This window comes from Homo sapiens, chromosome 8, assembly GCF_000001405.40.
Source record: "Homo sapiens chromosome 8, GRCh38.p14 Primary Assembly".
NCBI lineage: Eukaryota > Metazoa > Chordata > Mammalia > Primates > Hominidae > Homo > Homo sapiens.
The window spans coordinates 98,267,165-98,286,187 of NC_000008.11; the positions used below are offsets into that span (position 1 = coordinate 98,267,165).

The following is a 19,023-nucleotide window of genomic DNA, read 5'->3' on the forward strand; positions in this document are numbered from 1 at the left end:
GATATTTTGGTTTTCTTAATAGAGGGATGGTAGAAACTACCAATTATAATTTTTTTAATGCTGTAGAACCAGAAATAAAAATATGTAGCATTTTATTTATTTTTCTCAGAAAACGACTTGACTTACAGATGTAGGTACAACTAGAGGGGATATTCTATTTTCCTTTTTTTTTTTTTTGAAACAGGGTCTCACTTTGTTGCCCAAGGTGGGGTTCAGTGGTATGATGACAGCTCACTGCAGCTTTGACCTTCTGGGTTCAAGCAATCTTCCACCTCATCTTCCCAAGTAGCTGGGACTACAGGTGTGCTACCACACCCACCTAATTTTTCTATTTTTGTAGAGATGGGGTCTCATTATGTTTCCCAGGCTGGTCTCAAACACCTGGGCTCCAGTGATCTTCCTGCCTCAGCCTCCTAAAGTGTTAGGATTATAGGCATGAGCCACTGCACCTGGCCAATATTCTATATTTTCTAATCAGTAATGCCAATCATACTATTTTATTATTTTAACTTTTTAAGCCATCATTATAAGGTTAAAAGAGCTCACCTTATAATATTTCCTTTCTTACCATTTCCCCATAAGCTTATGGGTTATTATAAAATTTACTCATATTTCAAAGTGACCTGAATATAAAACTTACTTTATAGTTCCTGAAGTTAGAATTAACTTTGAAGTTTGTTCCCCACCCCCTGGAACCTACATGAGGCAAAAATTTAGAGATTTAAAATTAGCCATATACACATTCCCCACAATTAAATAATAGTTGTCAAAATCATGTGGGAGTTCAACTTCACGTCCTAAGAAACCACGAAAAGAAGATTGTCCTTTCTTCAGTCCGAGTCTAGTTCTGAATATTATACAATAATTAACAGAGGTAGAGCAACCATAAACTGTACCTGAGTGAATCACATGTTTTTAAATTAGTGAGCAGAAACAAGTGGGCAGAGATAATTGAATACAAATAATTTCTTTTCATAAAGAATGCTGAAGGTAGATATCACCTTAGTTGAGTCTTTCCTAGCCCTTCTCATCTATCAAAGGATACCCTATACTATTTCTCCTTGAATACTTATGATGCATTTTTTTTGGTAATATATGTGTGTCTTTACTAACACAATAGAAACAATGTCTGGTGGCAGGTCCAATAATTACCACGAGTTCAAAGTAGGGTCAAGGCAGGGTGCGGTGGCTCATGCCTGTCATCCCGGCATTTTGGGAGGCTGAGGTGGGCAGATCACTTGAGGTCAGGGGTTCAAGACAAGCCTGGCCAACATGGTGAAACCCCATCTCTACTAAATATATAAAAATTAGCTGGGTATGGTGGTGCATGTCTTTAATCCCAGCTACTTGGGAGGCTGAGGCAGGAGAATTGCTTGAACCCGAGAGGTGGAGGTTGCAGTGAGCCAAAATTGCACCACTGCACTCCAGCCTGGGCAACAGAGCAAGACTGTCTCAAAGAAAAAAAAAAAAAACAAGAAGAAAGAAAAAAACCCCACAAAATAAAGTAGGAATGAGCAAAATTATACAGGCTTACCTCAGAGATATTGCAGGTTTGGTTCCAGACCACCACAATAAAGTGAGTCACACAAAGTCTTTGGTTTCCCAGTGCATACAAAAGTCGTGTTTACACTACACTGTAGTTTATTAAGTATAGTGTAACCTACACTTAATAAACATACTGCAATAGCATTATGTTTAAAAATGTTAGACATACTTTAATTAAAAAATATTTTATTACCAAAAATGCTAATTATCATCTGAACCTACACTGAGTCATTTCTACAATATTCCCAGCATCTTCACAAGAAGAAGATTCCATCTTAAGAAACCCCTTTCTTTGCTCATCGATAAAAAGCAACTCCTCCTCCATTCAAGTTTGATCATGAGATGGCAGCAATTCAATGACATCTTCAGGGTCCACTTCTAGTTCTCCTGCTATTTCCACCACATCTGCAGTTACTTCCTACACTAAGTCTTGAACCCTTCCAAGTCAACCACGAGGGTTGGAATCAACTTCTTCCAAATTCCTGTGAGGGTGGATATTTTGACTTCCTCCCATGAATTACAAATGTTCTTAAAGGCATATGGAATGGTGAACCCTTTCCAGAATTTATTTTGGCTAGATCCATCAGAGGAATCACTATTTATGGCAGCTATAGTCTTACAAAATGTATTTTTTAACTAATATGACTTGAAAGTCAAAACTACTCATTGATCCATAGGCTGCAGAATGGATGTTGTGTTAGTGGGCATGAAAACAACATTCATCTCCTTGTACATCTCCATAAGAGCTCTTGGGTGACCAGATGCATTGTCAATGAGCAGTAATATTTTCAGAGGAATGTCTTTTTCTGAGCAGTAGGTCTCAATGGCGGGTTTAAAATATTAAGTAAACCATGCCATAAACAGATGCGCTGTCATCCAGGCTTAGATGTTCCATTTCTGGAGTACAGGTAAAGTAGATTATTGTTATTTTTGGTTATTGTTTTTGTTGCTGTTGTTGGTTACTGTAGCTTTATTTATTTATTTCCATTTTTCTTTTAGATTCAGGGGGTACATGTGCAGATTTGTTAGAAGGGTATGTTCGCAAGATGCTGAGATTTGGGCTCGTATTGATCCTGTCGTCTAGACAGTGAATATAGTACTCAATAGGCAGTTTTTTTAACTCTTGCCCCCTCCCTCCTCCAGAGTTCCCAGTGTCTATTGTTCCCAACTATATGTCCATGTATACACAAGATTTTAGCTTCCACTTATAAGTGAGAACATGCAGTATTTGGTTTTCTGTTTCTGTGTTAATTTGCTTAGGATAACAGTATCCAGCTGAATCCATTCTGCTGCAAAGGACATGATTTCATTCTTTTTTTATGGCTGCATAATATTCTATGGTGTATGCACCATATTTTCTTTATCCAGTCTACTGTTGATGGGCACCTAGATTGACTCCATGTCTTTGCTATTGTGAATAGTGCTGCAATGAACATGTGAGTGCATGCATCTTTTTGGTAGAACAATTTATTTTCCTTTGGGTATATACCCAGTAATGGGATTGCTGGGTGAAATGGTAGTTCTAGTTTTAGTTTTTTGAGAAATCTCCAAACTGCTTTCCACAGGGGCTGAACAATTTACATCCCCACTAACCATACATAAGTGTTTATTTTTCTCCACAGCCTCACCAGCATCTGTTGTTTTTTTACTTTTTAATAATAGCCATTCTGACTGGTATGAGATGGTATCTCATTGTGGTTTTCATTTGCATTTCCCTGATGATTAGTGATGTTCAGCATTTTTTCCGTGTTTGTTAGCCACTTGAATGTCTTTTGAGAAGTGTCTGTTATATTCTTTGCTCACTTTTCAATGGGATTATTTGGTTTTTGCTTGTTGATTTGTATACGTTCCTTATAGATTTTGGATATTAGTTCAAAATCTCTAGACTAATACATCTTTGTCAGATGCATAGTTTGCAAGTATTTTTTTCTTTCTATAGGTTTTTTATTCTGTTGATAGTCTCTTTGGGTGTGCAGAAGCTCTTTAGCTTAATTAGGTCCCATCTGTCAATTTTTATTTTTGTTGCAATTGCTGTTGAGGACTCAGTCAAAATTCTTTGCCTAGGCCAATTTCCAGAAGGGTATTTCCTAGGTTTTCTTCTCATGCTTTTTATAGTTTGAGAGGTCTTACATTTAAATATTTAATCCATCTTGAGGTAATTTGTTTATATGGTGAGAGGGAGAGGTGCAGTTTTATTCTTCTGCATTTGGTTAGCCAGTTTTTCCAGAACCATTTATTGAATAGGAAGTCCTTTCTCCATTGCTTTTGTCGACTTTGTCAAAGATCAGTTGGTTGTAGGTAAGCTGCTTTATTTCTGGGCTCTCTATTATGTTCCATTGGTCTATATGTCTATTTTTGTACCAGTATCATGCTGTTTTTGTTATTATAGCCTTCTAGTATAGTTTGAAGTTGGGTAAGGTGATGCTTCTGGCTTTGTTCTTTTTGCTTAAGATTGCTTTGGCTATTCAGGCTCTTTTTTGGTACCATATAAATTTTAGAACAGTTTCTTCTAATTCTGTGGAAAATGACATTGGTAATTTGATAGGAATAGTATAGAATCTATAGATTGCTTTGGCCAGGATAGACATTTCAACGATGTTGATTCTTCCAATCCATGAACATGGAATATTTTTCCATTTATTTGGGTCATCTCTGATTTCTTTCAGCAGTATTTTGTAGTTCTCCTTGTAGAGATCTTTCATCTCCTTAGTTAGATGTATTCCTAGGTATTTTATTTTTGTGTGTGGTTATTGTAAATGAGATTGTGTTCCTGATTTGGCTCTTAGCTTGAACATTGTTGGTGCATAGAAATGCTATGATTTTTTGTGAATTTTGTATCTGGAAACTCTACTGAAGTCATTTATCAGGTCAAGGAGCCTTTTGGCAGAGTTGTTAGGGTTTTCTAAGTATAGAGTCATATCGTCAGTGAAGAGAGATAATTTAACTTCCTCTTTTCCTATTTGGATGCCCTTTATTTCTTTCTCTTGCCTGATTGCTGTGGATAGGACTTTTATGTTGAATAGGAGTGGTTAGAGTGGGCATTTCTGTCTTGTTCCAGTTCTTAAGGGGAATGCTTCCAGTTTTTGCCCATTTAGCATGATATTGGCTGTGGATTTGTCATAGATGGCTCTTATTATTTTGAGGTATGTTCCTTTGGTGCCTAGTTTGTTGAGAGTTTTTTTTTTTTGTCATGAAATGATGTTAAATTTTATCAAAAGCTTATTCTACGTCTATTGAGATGATCATGTCTGTTTTGTTTTTAATGCTGCTTATGTGGTGAATCACATTTACTGATTTGAGTATGTTGAACCAAATTTGCACCCCAGGAATAAAGCCCATTTGATCATGGTGAATTAATTTTATGGTGTGCTGCTGGATTCAGTTTGCTAGTATTTGTAATGATTTGTATTCGCTTCCTATAGATGAGGAAACTGAACCTGAGAGGTTTAAGTTACCTTCTAAATTTCCATCATTACTGGTGGATCCCAGGTCTATTTGACTTCAGAGCTTATCTTCCTTCCAGGACCTCATGATTGATGTTAACTCTTTTCTTACTTCTCTCTGGCTAAATGAAGATCATCAAGAGCGGAGGTTTTGTCCTGTTTTCATTCCTTACTCATCTTTGCATCCCCAATAATGGAACTGGATAAGACTGTGCTGCGAAAAATTGTGGTTAAATGTATAATCATAGACTGAGGTGTGGAAAAAGGAAGGGAGATTTATTGAATACCAGTTAACTTGTTTAATTTCATTTGATAAAATGCATAAATATTTTAGACTATTAGAAATGGCCTATTATTTAAAATATTATTACTGGTTAATGTAGTGTATTAAGAAACAGTTTCAATACAATTAATGCGTTTGTTCTTAACACCAGTTTAGAAAAAGCATCATAGTGTGTGCTATCTTTTTTTTTTTTTTTTGAGACAGAGTCTCACTCTGTCGCCCAGGTTGGAGTGCAGTGGCACAATCTTGGCTCACTGCAATCTCCACCTCCCGGGTTCAAACAATTCTCCTGTCTCAGGCTCCCGAGTAACTGTGACTACAGACGCGTGGCACAATGCCTGGCTAATTTTTTATAACTGTGTGCTATTTTACACAATTCTATAGAATCAAAAAACCACTTGAAATAGAGTCATAAACTTATGATGTCTGAAAACCAAGGAAATGCTTATTTTTTCCAGGAATATTTCAATAATGCTCAATATCATTGTGATATTAACTACCACTACAAAACTCCACAGTGATATTTGGGATAAACAAAGGATTGAAAGTGTCCATAAAAAGGTTATCATTACAGAGAAGAAATGATCCAAGAGAAATAAAGCATATGTTCACATAAAAACTTGTACACAAATATCCATAGCACCGTTATTCCTAGTGCCCCAAAGTGGAAATGACCAAATGTCTATTGGCTGATGAATGAATAAACAAATGTGATACATTTTATATAATGGAAGATTATTCAGCCATAAAAGGGAGTGAAGTACTGGTACATGCTACAACCTAGATGAACTTTGAAAAGTTTATGCTAAGTGGAAGAATTCAGTAACAAAAGATCACAAATTATATGATTCTATTAATATTAAATGTCCAGAATAACAAATCTGTAGAGACAGAAAATAAATCAGGGGTTTTCTTAGGGCTGGGATGAATGAGGGGCTTGGGGATGACAGCTAAAGGGTGAGGGGGTTTCTTTTTGAGGTGATAAAATGTTCTAAAATTAATTGTGGTGATAGTTGCATAACTTTGTGATATACTAAAAACCGAAAGATTGTACACTTTAAATGAGTGAATTTTATGGTATGTGAATTACATTTCAATAAAGTTGTTACTGAAAATAGAATACTTTAAAAAACACTATAGGTAGATAGAGATATTTGTCCAAAGAAACAAGATACTACAAATGTAGCTATTGCTATTTCAGTCTCTTCTCCCTCTCAGAGATACGTAATTTTCTGAGGTTGATATATTTAATAAATATATTTCTTCCTTAGATTTTTATTATCTTTATTTTGTTAACTCAATTTTTCCGTTTTCATCTTGTTCATTTGGACTCTTAACTCATTAGCTTTTTCCCTTTCTTCTTATCTAATAATATATGAAAGTACCACTATACATTTCCCTCTAAGTACACTGTCTGTCTCAGCTTCATGTGTAGTTTGGACGTACATAGTCATTGTCATTTAGTTCTAAATAGTTTCTAATTATCTCATGATTTTCATCTGAGCCTCCATATTATTCAAAAGTATGTTTTCTGAAAAAGTTTCTAAGTGAATGAGGTAGTTGGTTATCAACCAAATGAAGTTGGTTGCCACTTTAATTATTTCTAATTTTATTAAATTATTTCTAATTTATTGAGTTTGGGTCAGAAATGTGCTGTGTGTGAATCAACATTTGCTTTATGACCTAATACATGGTATAAACAGAAATTTGTCTTGTGACCAGGTAGCATGTGATCAAGTTTTATAAGTTTCCATGTATGCTTGAAAAGAAAGTATTTAGTTGTTAACATTATATATATATTCTACATATTCTATCATCTATCTATCTATCTATCTCTCTATCTATCTATCTATCCATCCACCCATCCATCCCATCTATCTCCATTAATACATTGCTCAAATCTTCAACAATCTTACTAAATTTTGGACTGCTTTGTCTATCAGTTGCCAAGTGAGATATATTAAAAATCTACCACAAATATGGCTTTAGACTTTTTTTCCTTTTAAATCTGCTGAATTTTGAATTACATATTTTAAGGCTATACTGTTAGGTATGTACAAGTTCAGGATTATTTTATCTCCTCAGTTAATTGTTCCTTTTATCAGTATGACTCTTTAATCTCAATAATGTTTTTGTTTTAAAGTCTATTTTATCTGATATTAATATAATATAATCACTCTTTTGATATTTCCTCTTCCTCCATCACTTTACTTTCAACATTTCTTTGTCATTACATTTTAGTTGGATCTCTTATATATAGAAAATAACTAGATTTTTTAAACTGAAATTTTCTGTCAAATGGGAAACTTAGTCCATTTACACTTATTGTGATTGTCAACATAGTTTCATTTATTTCTACTATCTTTTGTGTGTGTCTGTATTTGTAGTTATCTTGGTTTTCCTTTGCATCCCAATTTCTTCTTTCCTATATCCTGTTAGAATTGGTTGAGTGTTCTTTATCCCTCCCTCTGCTCTCACTCTTCTGGTTAGGAAGTTATACATCTTATTTCTATTATTTTAGTAAGTACTGCTATTTTTTTAAACCTTTAATTTTGAAATAATTATGGATTCATAGTAGGTTGCAAATAAATGTATAGGGGGTTCCCAGGCATATTTCCTCTAACTGCCCTCCCTAAATGTTAACATCTTACACAACTACAGTAAAATATCAAAACCAAGAAACTGGCATTGGTAAATACCTTATTTAGATTTCACCAATTATATATGAACCCATTTGTGTGTGTGTGTGTAACCACTGCCACAATCACAATATGCATCTGTACCATCACCATAAGACTCCCTTGTATTACCCCGTTATAGATATATCCTCTTTCCCTCACCATTCCTAACCCCTACCAACCACAATCCAATCCATTCTCCATTTCTATGTTATTTCAAAAATATTGTTACATACCTAGAATCTAGAAGTATGTGTACTTTTGAAGTTGCCTTTTTTCACTAAGCATAATTTCCCTGAGTCTCATCTAAGCTGTTGGGTCATTCCTTCTCATTGCTGAGTAGTATTCCATGGTATGGATATGCCACAGTTTGTTTAATTATTCACTCATTGAATGACTTTTGAGTAGTTTCCAGTTTGGGGCTGTTTTGAACAAAGCTTCTATGAACATTCGTGTACAAATTCTACATGAAAATAAATCTTCATTTTCTGGGATAAATGCCCGAAAGTGTAATTGCTGGTTTGTGTGGTAAGTCCATTTTTAGTTTTGAAAGGAACTGCCAAACTATTTTTCAGAGTTGTACAATTTTACTTTCCCATCAGCAATATATGAGTGATCCAGTTTCTCCACTAATTTATCTGCATTCTTGACATAAATTGTAAAGTTAATCAATATTTCCAGCCTCCTGAGCATTATAAAAGCTTCCATTTGTTTTAACTACAATCTTTCTTCTGTCCTATCTCATATGTTGCTGACTAGTGTATCAGTTCTACCTTGTATTTATATCCTCAAACTAGTCATGATTATCATTATTTTTTAACCAGTATTATTTTTTAGAGCAGTTTTAGGTTCACAGCAAAATTGAGAGGAAGGTACAGATTTCCTATTTTCTCCCTGCTGCCACACATGCACAGCCTTTCCCATTCTCATGAATCAAGAGTAATACATTTGTTACATTTCATGAGCCTACATTGAAACATCATCATCACCCAAAGTTCATAGTTTACATTAGGGTTCACTGTTAGTTTTTCATGCTCTATTGGTTTTGGTAAATGTACAATGACATGTATCCACCATTATAATATCATACAGAATAGTTTCACTGCCCTAAAAATCCTCTGTGCTTGCCTATTCATCCCTTCCTACCCACAACCCCTAGCAACCACTGATCTTTTTACTGTCTCTATAGTTTTGTCTTTTCTAAAATATTATATAGTTGGAATCATATAGTATGTAGCCTTTTCAGATTCACTTTTTTTGCTTAGTAATATGCATTTCAACTTCTTCTATGTCTTTTCATGGCTTGATAATATTCCATTATCTGGATGTACCACAGTTTATCTATTCAGCTACTGAAGGACACCTTGGTTGCTTCCAAATTTTGGTAATTATGAATAAAGCTGCTATAAACATCCATGTGCAGGCTTTTGTGCAGACATACGTTTTCAGTGCCTGTGGGTAAATACCAAGGTTGCTGAATTGTCTGGTAAGAGAATGTTTAGTTTTGTAAGAAACTGCCAAACTGTCTTCCAAAGTGGCTATACCTGCATTCCCACTAGCAATGAATAAGAGTTCCTGGTCATTATTATTGTTCCATACAGTCAATGCTTGCCTTACTTATCCATGTTTACCCATTTCTTTCTTTCTTTTTTTTTTCTTTTCTTTTTTCTTTTTTTTTTGAGACAGTCTCACTCTGTTGCCCAGGCTGAAGTGCAGTTGCGCGATCTTGGCTCACTGCAACCTCCACCTCCCAGGCTCAACCAATTCTCCTGCCTTAGCCTCCTGAGTAGCTGGAACTAGTGCATGCCACCATGCTCGGCTAATTTTTGTATTCTTAGTAGAGACGGGGTTTCACCCTGTTGGCCAGGCTGGTCTTGAACTCCTGACCTGAAGTGATCTGCTCGCCTTGGCCTCCCAAAGTGCTGGGATTACAGGCGTGAGCCAGTATACCCAGCCCATGTTTACCCATTTCTTGCTCACCACTGTTCTTATTTTAAATAACAGCTCTATTGAGATATAATTTACATTCCACAATGTTCAGCCTCTTAAAGTGTACAACTCAATAGTTTTTAATATACTCATACAGTTGTGCAGCCATCACCGCGATCTAATTTCAGAATATTTTCATCACCTGGGCGGACACAGTGGCTCAAGCCTGTAATTGCAGGACTTTGGGAGGCTGTGGTGGGTGGATCACTTGAGGTCAGGAGTTCCAGACCAGCCTGGCCAACATGATGAAACTCTGTCTCTACTATTAATAAAAAATACAAAAAATTAGCTGGGCATGGTGGCACATGTCTATAGTCCCAGCTAGTTGGGAGGCTGAGATGGGAGAATCGCTTGAACCTGGGAAGCAGAGGTTGCAGTGAGCTGGGGTCGCACCATTGCACTCCAGCCTGGGCGACAGAGTGAGAATCTGTCTCAAAAAAAAACCAAAAAAGAATATTTTCATCACCTCAAAAAGAAACTCCATAGCCATTAGCAGTCATTTCCCATTCCCTCCTCCCCACAGTCCATGGCAGCCATCAATTTACATTCTGTCTGTATGAATTTGCCTATTCTGGACATTTTATATAAATGGACTCATATAGTATGTGGCCTTTTATGCCTGGTTTCTTTTACTTAGCATAATGTTTTCAAGACTCATCACATTGTAGCATGTACCAGTATGTATCACCTCTAGAGCATGTACTATTTCTTTTTATGGCTATGTAATATTCCATTGCAAGAACATACTACATTTTATTTATCCATTCATCCGTTGATAGATATTTGGGTTGTTTTCATGTTTTGGATATTATGTTCTTGCATCTTATTTTTTTTCTTCTGGCTTCAGTGTCCTTCTTCCTGAAGAAAACTTTAGTAGCTCTTTCAATAAAATTCTTTGAATTGCAAACTCTCTGTCACTCTGCAAATATCTTCATCTTTCCTCTTGAGTAGAGAAGTATAGGCTGACAGTAATTTTACTCAGCACTTTGATGTTATTATTCTGTTGACTTCTGGCCCTTATTGTTGTTGTTGATAAGTAGGTTGTTAGTCTAATTGTTGCTCCTTTGTAGGCAATCTGTTATTTTTCTCAGAATGCTTTTAAGATTTTCTTTATCATGGTTTTTTGTTTGTTTGTTTGTTTGTTTTGTTTTTGCAATTTTACTACAGTTTCTGTATATGTGATTTAGGTTTTGTTTGGGACTCATGCTTCCTCAATTTGAGGATTCATGTCTTCACTAATTCTGTTAAGCTCTCCACCATTATCCCTTTAAATGTCATCTACCCTTTGTTCTCTCTTTCTTCTCCATATGGAACTCCTCTTATACATTAGGTCTTTTCATTCTAACCCCTTGTTTCCTAAGATCTCTTCTATATTTTCTAACTCTTTATCCCTTTGTACTGAATTCTGCATAATTTCCTTAGATCCATCTTCCAGTTTACCTTTCCTGACTTCCCTCTTCTGAATTGAGTCTTACATATTTCTATCAGGACATGTATTATACAATACTGCAATTAATTTTTACAAGGCCATTTCTCCACTAGACTATAAGCTCCTTGAAGGCAGAGCTGTGACTTACACACCAACTCATCTTTTAAACCCTAATGACTAGTATAGACCTGGCACAGAGACATTGTTTATTAAATACCATTTGAACTAAACTATCGGATCAAATATAAACTGTCTAGAAATAGGACATTTTGACCTTTGGCACTAGAAGGATCTCAGTGAGTAACTATTTTATAATAACCGAGGTTTGAATATACCAAACACACAGTTTCTGTGAGAGCAAAATTTGTCCCAGAGTTCAGATTTCAACAATTAAAAGTGTAGTAAAAAGCTACTTGCTGACTTTTAAAATCTAGTGAATTTGAATTATACTAAAAAAAGCAAGAAACATATTGGTATAAAGCAGCTGTCAGAAAGTTTCCTGATAATCCTCTGTATAAACTGATACATCTTATTCTATATTTTTTCTGAAATTTTGTCTAATTATTCAAGGTTGATTGCATGCTTATTAAATTTATTTAATACATTTCTTTGAATGGTAGTAACACAGTAAATCCTCATTAACTCCCCTAATTACTGGGGAGGAAAACTTCAAATTTGCAATGCTTTTAAAAGATGGTGGTTTGATTACCTTCAAAGACATACAGTAACTTGAGGTAACCATTACTAAATACTGCTTCCAATTACAAGCTCTGGTAAATGTACTTTAATGACTACAAATTCCTGCAATCAGAAGTATCATTTGCATACATTGAGCAGGCCCTTAGAAACTTCCCATTACATTAGATTAAAAATGTCTAGTTTACATCATTACTTATTCAGCACATTATCTCTTTTTCTAACATTTTAGAATTAATGGAAGTTTAAACATCTCTCTCTTTCTCTTGTTTTCTCTTTCTTCTACTCCCCCACTTCCCTGTCCTTTCACTGGTCAGGGAAGAGAACAGAGCCAGAGAAGGAAAGTGTCTTATGCAAAGTCACACAGCTAGATAGCAGCCAAATTTTGAGCCCAAGGCACCCAGGTCAAGTCTGAATCACTATTTATCTGCAGAATGCAATAGATAACTTTTTGGCTAGTCAATGTCAATGTACCACAATTTTTTAATTAGCAGAATTTGTTTCTTTTTCTCAATACAAATGAAATAAAGCAATGACAATAGTTAGGAGGAAAGGTTGTTCCACATCTTAATAATGTAGTTATAAGTAGAGGCCAAAACACAGGAAGATGTCTTTAATTAATGTCTGCAGTGCTCACTGTTGTCACCACTGCAGCGTAATTTCTGGCTTTTCCAGGATGTCTTGGCAAATACGTGGTGGCAGCCACAGCATACAATTTATATAGAATGAGGTTCAAAATAGCAGCATTGATAAGTATTCAGATATTTTAATTGTATTTGGAATAACAATTTTCTATCCTACTTTTATTAGCCAGAATGATCTTTAGATATTTCAAATTGACCTGTAGTACTGTGTTATTGACCTGTAATCCATTGTGGAGCGAAAGCAGTGATTTGGCCGTATGGAGACAGGATATGGTAATACAGGGGTGTGTGGAATTGGTGATCTGTCCCAGCTCTGGCTTTGAACTCAACCATATTCCTGGCTCTGTCTTCAAACCATAAATTCAAAATCAGATCCCAGTGGAGCTAGTACATGGCAGAAAAGCACCACAGATTCTGAGCTCGTTTTGAACACAGTAATGGTTGTATGCAACCCACAACTGGAATAACGCTTTGTATGCAACTCACAACTGGAATAATGCTATCTCTTGTTCCTGGCAATAAAACATGCATGAACTGGAAATGAGATCTAGTGTCTTGTATCAGCAATAGTACAGATTGAGTGATTTAGGTCAACTAATTACTGCAGAAATGACTGTAATGGCCTGTACACACCAGGGGACGTGTCTGAGACATGGGTGTTCAGCTCACCCCATTTCATGGTGAACTCTTAGGAATGAGCTGGAGTTGTTTTGCATTTGTACCCAGTAGACAGGTAGGCACATGATATCTCTCCAGGACAGTTAGGACAGGACAAGAAGACATCCAAACTCTTAGAGATACATCTTTAAGCATTTAGGGGTAAAGATTTATAACATGTGCCTCTGACTTTCAAATAGTCCATTACTATATATATATATATATATATATATAGAGAGAGAGAGAGAGAGAGAGAGAGAGAGAAAGCGAGAGAAACAAATATTTCACAATGTTAACAATTGGTGAATCTCCAGGTGAGGGACATATGGTATTTATTGTACTACTCTTTTTTACTTTTCTATAGGTTTAAAATTTTCCAAGCTAAAAAATTTTAAATACACCCTCCTTTGCAGGCTCAGTGAAATTAAGGAGAAGATGGATTTATTTAAAAATAGAGTTAAGAGGAGATGATAACAAGAGAAGAAATGAAAAGGAAGCTGGCAGAACCAAGAAAAGATGTTAAGGAGAAAAATAAAACCATTGCGCAACTGAAGACCGCATGTAGGCACTGCTTGAGAAAAACACACTATGTAGAGGGAAAGGACATGAAATGAAAGTGATTAGAGAGAAGAGGAGAGATGTAGGGGACAGACAACTTCAGCAAGCTCACATCAGGATGTTATCCATTCAGTCATGCATCCATTTGGTATTCATTCAGCAACTGCTAAATGTTAGGTCCTATGTCAGGAATCAAGGATGCAAAGTACCCCCAAGAAGCTCAGAAGGAGTAGAAGGATGTTACCAGATGCTGGGAAGGGTACTGGGGTAGGGGGCGGTGAGGTGGGGATGGTTAATGGGTACAAAAAACAGGAAGAATGAGTAAGATCAACTATTTGATAGCACAACAGGGTGACTACAGCCAATAATAACTTAAATGTGCCTTTAAAAATAACTAAGAGTATAATTGGATTGTTTGTAACGCAATTATAAAAGCTTGAGGGGATGGATTCCCCATTCTCCATGACGTGATTATTAAACATTGCATGCCTGTATCAAGATATCTCATGTACCCCATAAATATGTGTACCTAATAGGCACCCACAAAAATTAAAAATTAAAAAATTTTAAAAGGGAAGCTGAGAAGAAGTAGAGAAAGCAACCACTAACAAGCAGAGCACAGCCTGTTCAATCTCTAATAGAGGTGTGCTCCGCAAAACCCCAGGGAATAGAGAAGACAGAGTACAAATCTGTCTAGGGTAGGGACTGTACTTGTTTGCTGTGGCCGTTGTACCAAATTACCACAAAACATGGTGGCTTAACATAACACAATTTATTCTCTCACAGTTCTGGAGGCTAGAAGTCCAAATTCAACTTTATTGGGCTGAAATCAAAGAGTCAGGAGGATACCTGTGATGGCATTTAGGCCCACCTGGGTGAGCCAGGACACTCTCTCCATCTCAAGATCCTTACTTGAATCACATCTGCAAAGCCCTCTTTCTGCCAGGCAAGGTAACATTCAAAGAAGACTTTGGGATCTAGATGCAGATATCTTTTGCTGGGGGATCTTTGTTCAGCCTACTCCAGGGATGGAGTTAGGGAAGCCTCGCAGGGTGATATCTCACCAGGGTGAGTGCATTCCGGCAAAGGGCAGGGCAAGTACAGGGGCCCAAGGTGCAGCAAACAAGGGGCCCTGCAGGCCTGAAAGCAGAGGACTGCAGTATAGCTGGTCTGGAGAGGCAAGCAGGAGATGTTCTGTGCCACGGATCCGTAGGCGGTGCTAAGACACAAAGAACTCAAAGAACACAAAGATACAAACTAGAGAAGGATAAGTCCAGGTTTGGCTTTTGGAAGACTCATCCTAGCTGCAGTGTGGAGGATGGACTGGCAAGGAGACCAGGGAACAGGAAGACCAAGCAGGAGATAGATCTAGGAGTTCAGACAAGAAGTAGGGGCAATGAGGATAGTTAATTAAAACAGGGTCCTAAAGAAACAATACCAGCTGGGCGTGGTGGCACGCACCTGTAGTCCCGGCTACTCAGGAGACTGAGGTGGGAAGATCACTTCAGCCCAGCAGTTTGAGGCTGCAGTGAGCTATGATTGTACCACTGCATCCAGCCTGGGCAACAGAGTGAGACCCTGTCTCTAAAAACAAAAAAGAAAAGAAAAAAGAAACAATATTCATAGCAGCAAACATTGGAGACAATCTGAACTACGGTAATGCTTTTTAGATTACTGGGTGGGTTGTGCTATTTTTACCACTAATCTCCTTTGTTCTTGTAGATAATTGAGTTGTCTGCAATACTAACACAAACCGAGTTAAAACTATAATCCTATATGTGAAAAAGAAGAAAGAAAAATTTTCAGTCAGGAGCAGATTTTTAATTTGTTATCTTGGTTATTGTATGCTATTGGGTTGTTGTGTCCCTATCCTGAGAAAGCTGTACAACACCAGATCCAAATCGGGTTATTTAAAAGCCAACATAAAGGCTCAGGGTTACATAACACAGTACATCATTGCTATTCTACAAGCTGTTTCATGCCAATTTTTAATCAACCTTAAAGCCTAGGCAGAAAACCCCAACATATTGCCTTCCCATGCAATTAAGAACGATTACATTTGTCTTTTACTAGGGAACACATTTATTTATATAATTGTACATTCTTTGTTTTTAAAAACAAAATTTCATTAAGAATAAGCCTGAGTTTTACTAAGAAGCCACCAGGTTTTTTCATTTCTGAGAAATGTAAGTCTCAGCAGAGCAAATTTATGGAAAAAGCAATACATTTAATAACACACCCTTTGAGGGCTTTTAACACTTTGTCAAATGGAGAGCAACAATAGTCAAGAAAAGGTGAGATTCCAGTTAAGGAAGTCTTAAACTTGGTTCTATTACAAAACAGCTTAATCCTGTATAATATTGGGGAGGAAATTTTTGAAACAAAAACAGACATGCTGAACACAAAGAATGCCACTGTCTATGTCCAGGTCAATATAGGGCCTTATAATTTTCATGTTTTACAAGAACATGTTTATTATAATAGTTTTAACAACCCATAATCCTTTGTTTCCAAAGAAGCAGGATTGCAGGCCACCTTTTGCAGGCCCAGCCCAGGTTTGGAACAAGGCTTCCTCTGCAAAAGCTGGATGCTGTGAGCTCTGTCAGCTGCAATGCTCTACCCCACACCTGCCTGGGTTTCCGGAGTGCATACTCTATTTGGGAGCAATGCCTGCCTTGAACTCCAACAGTATTTTGTCAGCATCTTTCCCCAAAGACTAAACTCTACAGCCTATATCAAGTATCAGCCACTGGGTGAGTTTCTGCCTTGATATGGGGAGGGATTGTGATGATGTTGCCACTCACTCACTGATCTCTGCCAGAGACTCCTGAGGCCCTCACCACCCACCAGATTAGACCTTTCTGAAATCGAGGCAGACAATCAAGTTCAAGTGTGCTATACCCCTTAGACATTGTGACTTGGGCTCTTCACAACCTCTAAAGGGCCAATCCTCACAGCCAGGCTAATTTCCTCATCCCCAAGCCCACTATTCCTGGCAAAAGCCTCACATCCTACTGGCATAGCAGCCAGGTCCCAACACAGCTCATGGTCAATGCTCATATGACACCCACACGATTCACTGATGGCAATTGTCATTTGGGTCAAACTGCCCATTTCTCTACCATTGTGACTCCAGCGGCCATATCCAAATGTATATCACAATGTTTCCTCTTCTGCTTTGGCTCTCTTGTTCACAATCACAAAACAGTACCATGTTAGTTCTGGAAGTTTAATGTAAATAGCTCACCAGGTTATATAAGGAAGGTGACTTCTAACCACTCTTTCAAATGTTTTTCAAGTATTTCTAAGGCATTCTCTCTCTCTCTCTCTCTCACACACACACACACACACACACATACACACACAATGTATATTACAAAAAATACAGCTACTTTTTGAGGTCATAGTCCATGTTTTCTGACTCTTTGGTAACACTGCCTTATAGAGAAGGCCTCTCTGCTTACGGTTTTTCTTGAATGGAATGTTGGTTACATTTTGGACCCTCATTGATTCACTGACCCAGCCTAATGTGGGCTGTGATAAGAGGGAACACAATGCAGACAGCCCCAAAACAGCCCTGGAACGATCAGAGCCCTGCAAGTCCAGAGGCTGAAGAGGAAATAAAGACCCCCAGAATTCACAGGATTCACCTCAAACTTGAATGAGATATTCACAATGCTAACATGACCCCTAGGACTCTATACAGCATTATATTTTCACACCATAACCTAAGTCAGCTAAATGCACTAAACTTGTCCTACCTACTGAAGAGGTGTTTGTTGATGAGAAATTGCCAAGCAAGAAGCAAGATAGAGACCAAGCAGAGGACACTACCTTTGCCATTTATTCCCTTTAATTTTTCTATCAGTAAGAATAAGTAGAGGCCTTTCTAGAATTCCTTGGGGGTAAGGAGAGATATATTTAGAACTTGGAAATAGTCACTGCTTAGGGATGATGCTTTTGAAAATATTTCAGAAATTAAACCTATAATCTAAGCTTCTAAGGAGAGTACTGTTCAGGTCCCACCAACAAAGACAAGGCAGAGTAAGTGGGTTATTCTGGGGAGCCGCTCATGTGAGCCAGGACACAGAAATGAAAGGTCCTGGGTGAGCTGGGAGTGGTGTTAGCCCAAGGGTGTCCCATGAAGACAAAAATCCATAGGAGGAGGACTTGAGCCCACCTGTGGGGACATTGCTGTTGGGGCATACAGTGCCCTTTCTCTTGTTTACAGGACTCCTATTTCAGGTGGGTGTCCAGTCCTTCTCAAGGGTGCCCATGTGCTTTGGGAACACTAAGCCTGGTAACTCCAGCCTTGGCGACTGGTATGAGACAGGACATGGTCTTAACATCATCCAATCAGACTAAAGCCCATGTTTTTTCACTAGTGGTTGAGAAAGTCAAGCTCTTTCTTCCAGGGGGGTGAAAGGAAGTATGTACCCTAGAGGGGCGAGCCTGCTAAAAGTGGAACCAACAACCCTGAAGAACAAAAGTTGAAAATGAGAGTGAGGAACTGAGCATTCACCATATTTTTAAAGCCCCCCTGGATGGAGGCTTGACTGAACCTAGAGTTCTTCTGGCCTTTTACATCATCCAAATGGATTACTTTCTTTTCTTATTTAAGTCAGTTAAAGTTAGTTTCTTTCTTTCTTTTTTTTTTGTAACTTGCAACCTAAAGCCTCTTAACTTACAAAGCATTCATGGTAGGGAAGCCGAATTCAAAGACCAGAAGAGAGACTGACTCCTCTTGCAAGCTAAAGAAATCAGGTCAATAGTCCAAGTTCCTGAAGGAGGAAACAATTTGAGAGTTGCAAAGAAGGTGAAGTGGGGTCAAGTGATGAAATGGTTTAAATGTGTCCCCCAAAGTTCATGTGTTGGAAACTTAATCTCCAATGCAACAGTATTGAAGGTGTGACCTTTATGAGGTGATGAGGTCATGAGGGCTGTGCCTTCATGAGCGGATTAATGTCTTTGTTTCTGGAGTAGGTTTCTTATAAAAGCAACTTTGGCCCTCTCTTGCTTTCTCTTGCACATTCTTTCACCATGTGATGCCTTCCCTCATGTTATGACACAGCAAGAAGGCCCTTACCAGATGCAGCCCCTG

General features: G+C 37.5%; 1 protein-coding gene and 1 long non-coding RNA gene across 10 annotated transcripts in view; one reads left to right on the forward strand and one right to left on the reverse strand.

Moving 5' to 3' along the window:
• Nucleotides 1-19,023, reverse strand: part of NIPAL2 (NIPA like domain containing 2) — a 104,410-nt gene that overhangs the window by 77,339 nt on the left and 8,048 nt on the right. The gene's annotated exons all lie outside the window — the stretch shown is intronic.
• Nucleotides 1-19,023, forward strand: part of LOC105375659 (uncharacterized) — a 50,787-nt gene that overhangs the window by 12,262 nt on the left and 19,502 nt on the right. The window contains exons 2-4 of the long non-coding RNA XR_007061023.1: nucleotides 13,778-13,925; nucleotides 14,709-14,873; nucleotides 16,439-16,675. This is a non-coding gene — a long non-coding RNA (uncharacterized LOC105375659). The remainder of the gene's footprint in view (nucleotides 1-13,777; nucleotides 13,926-14,708; nucleotides 14,874-16,438; nucleotides 16,676-19,023) is intronic.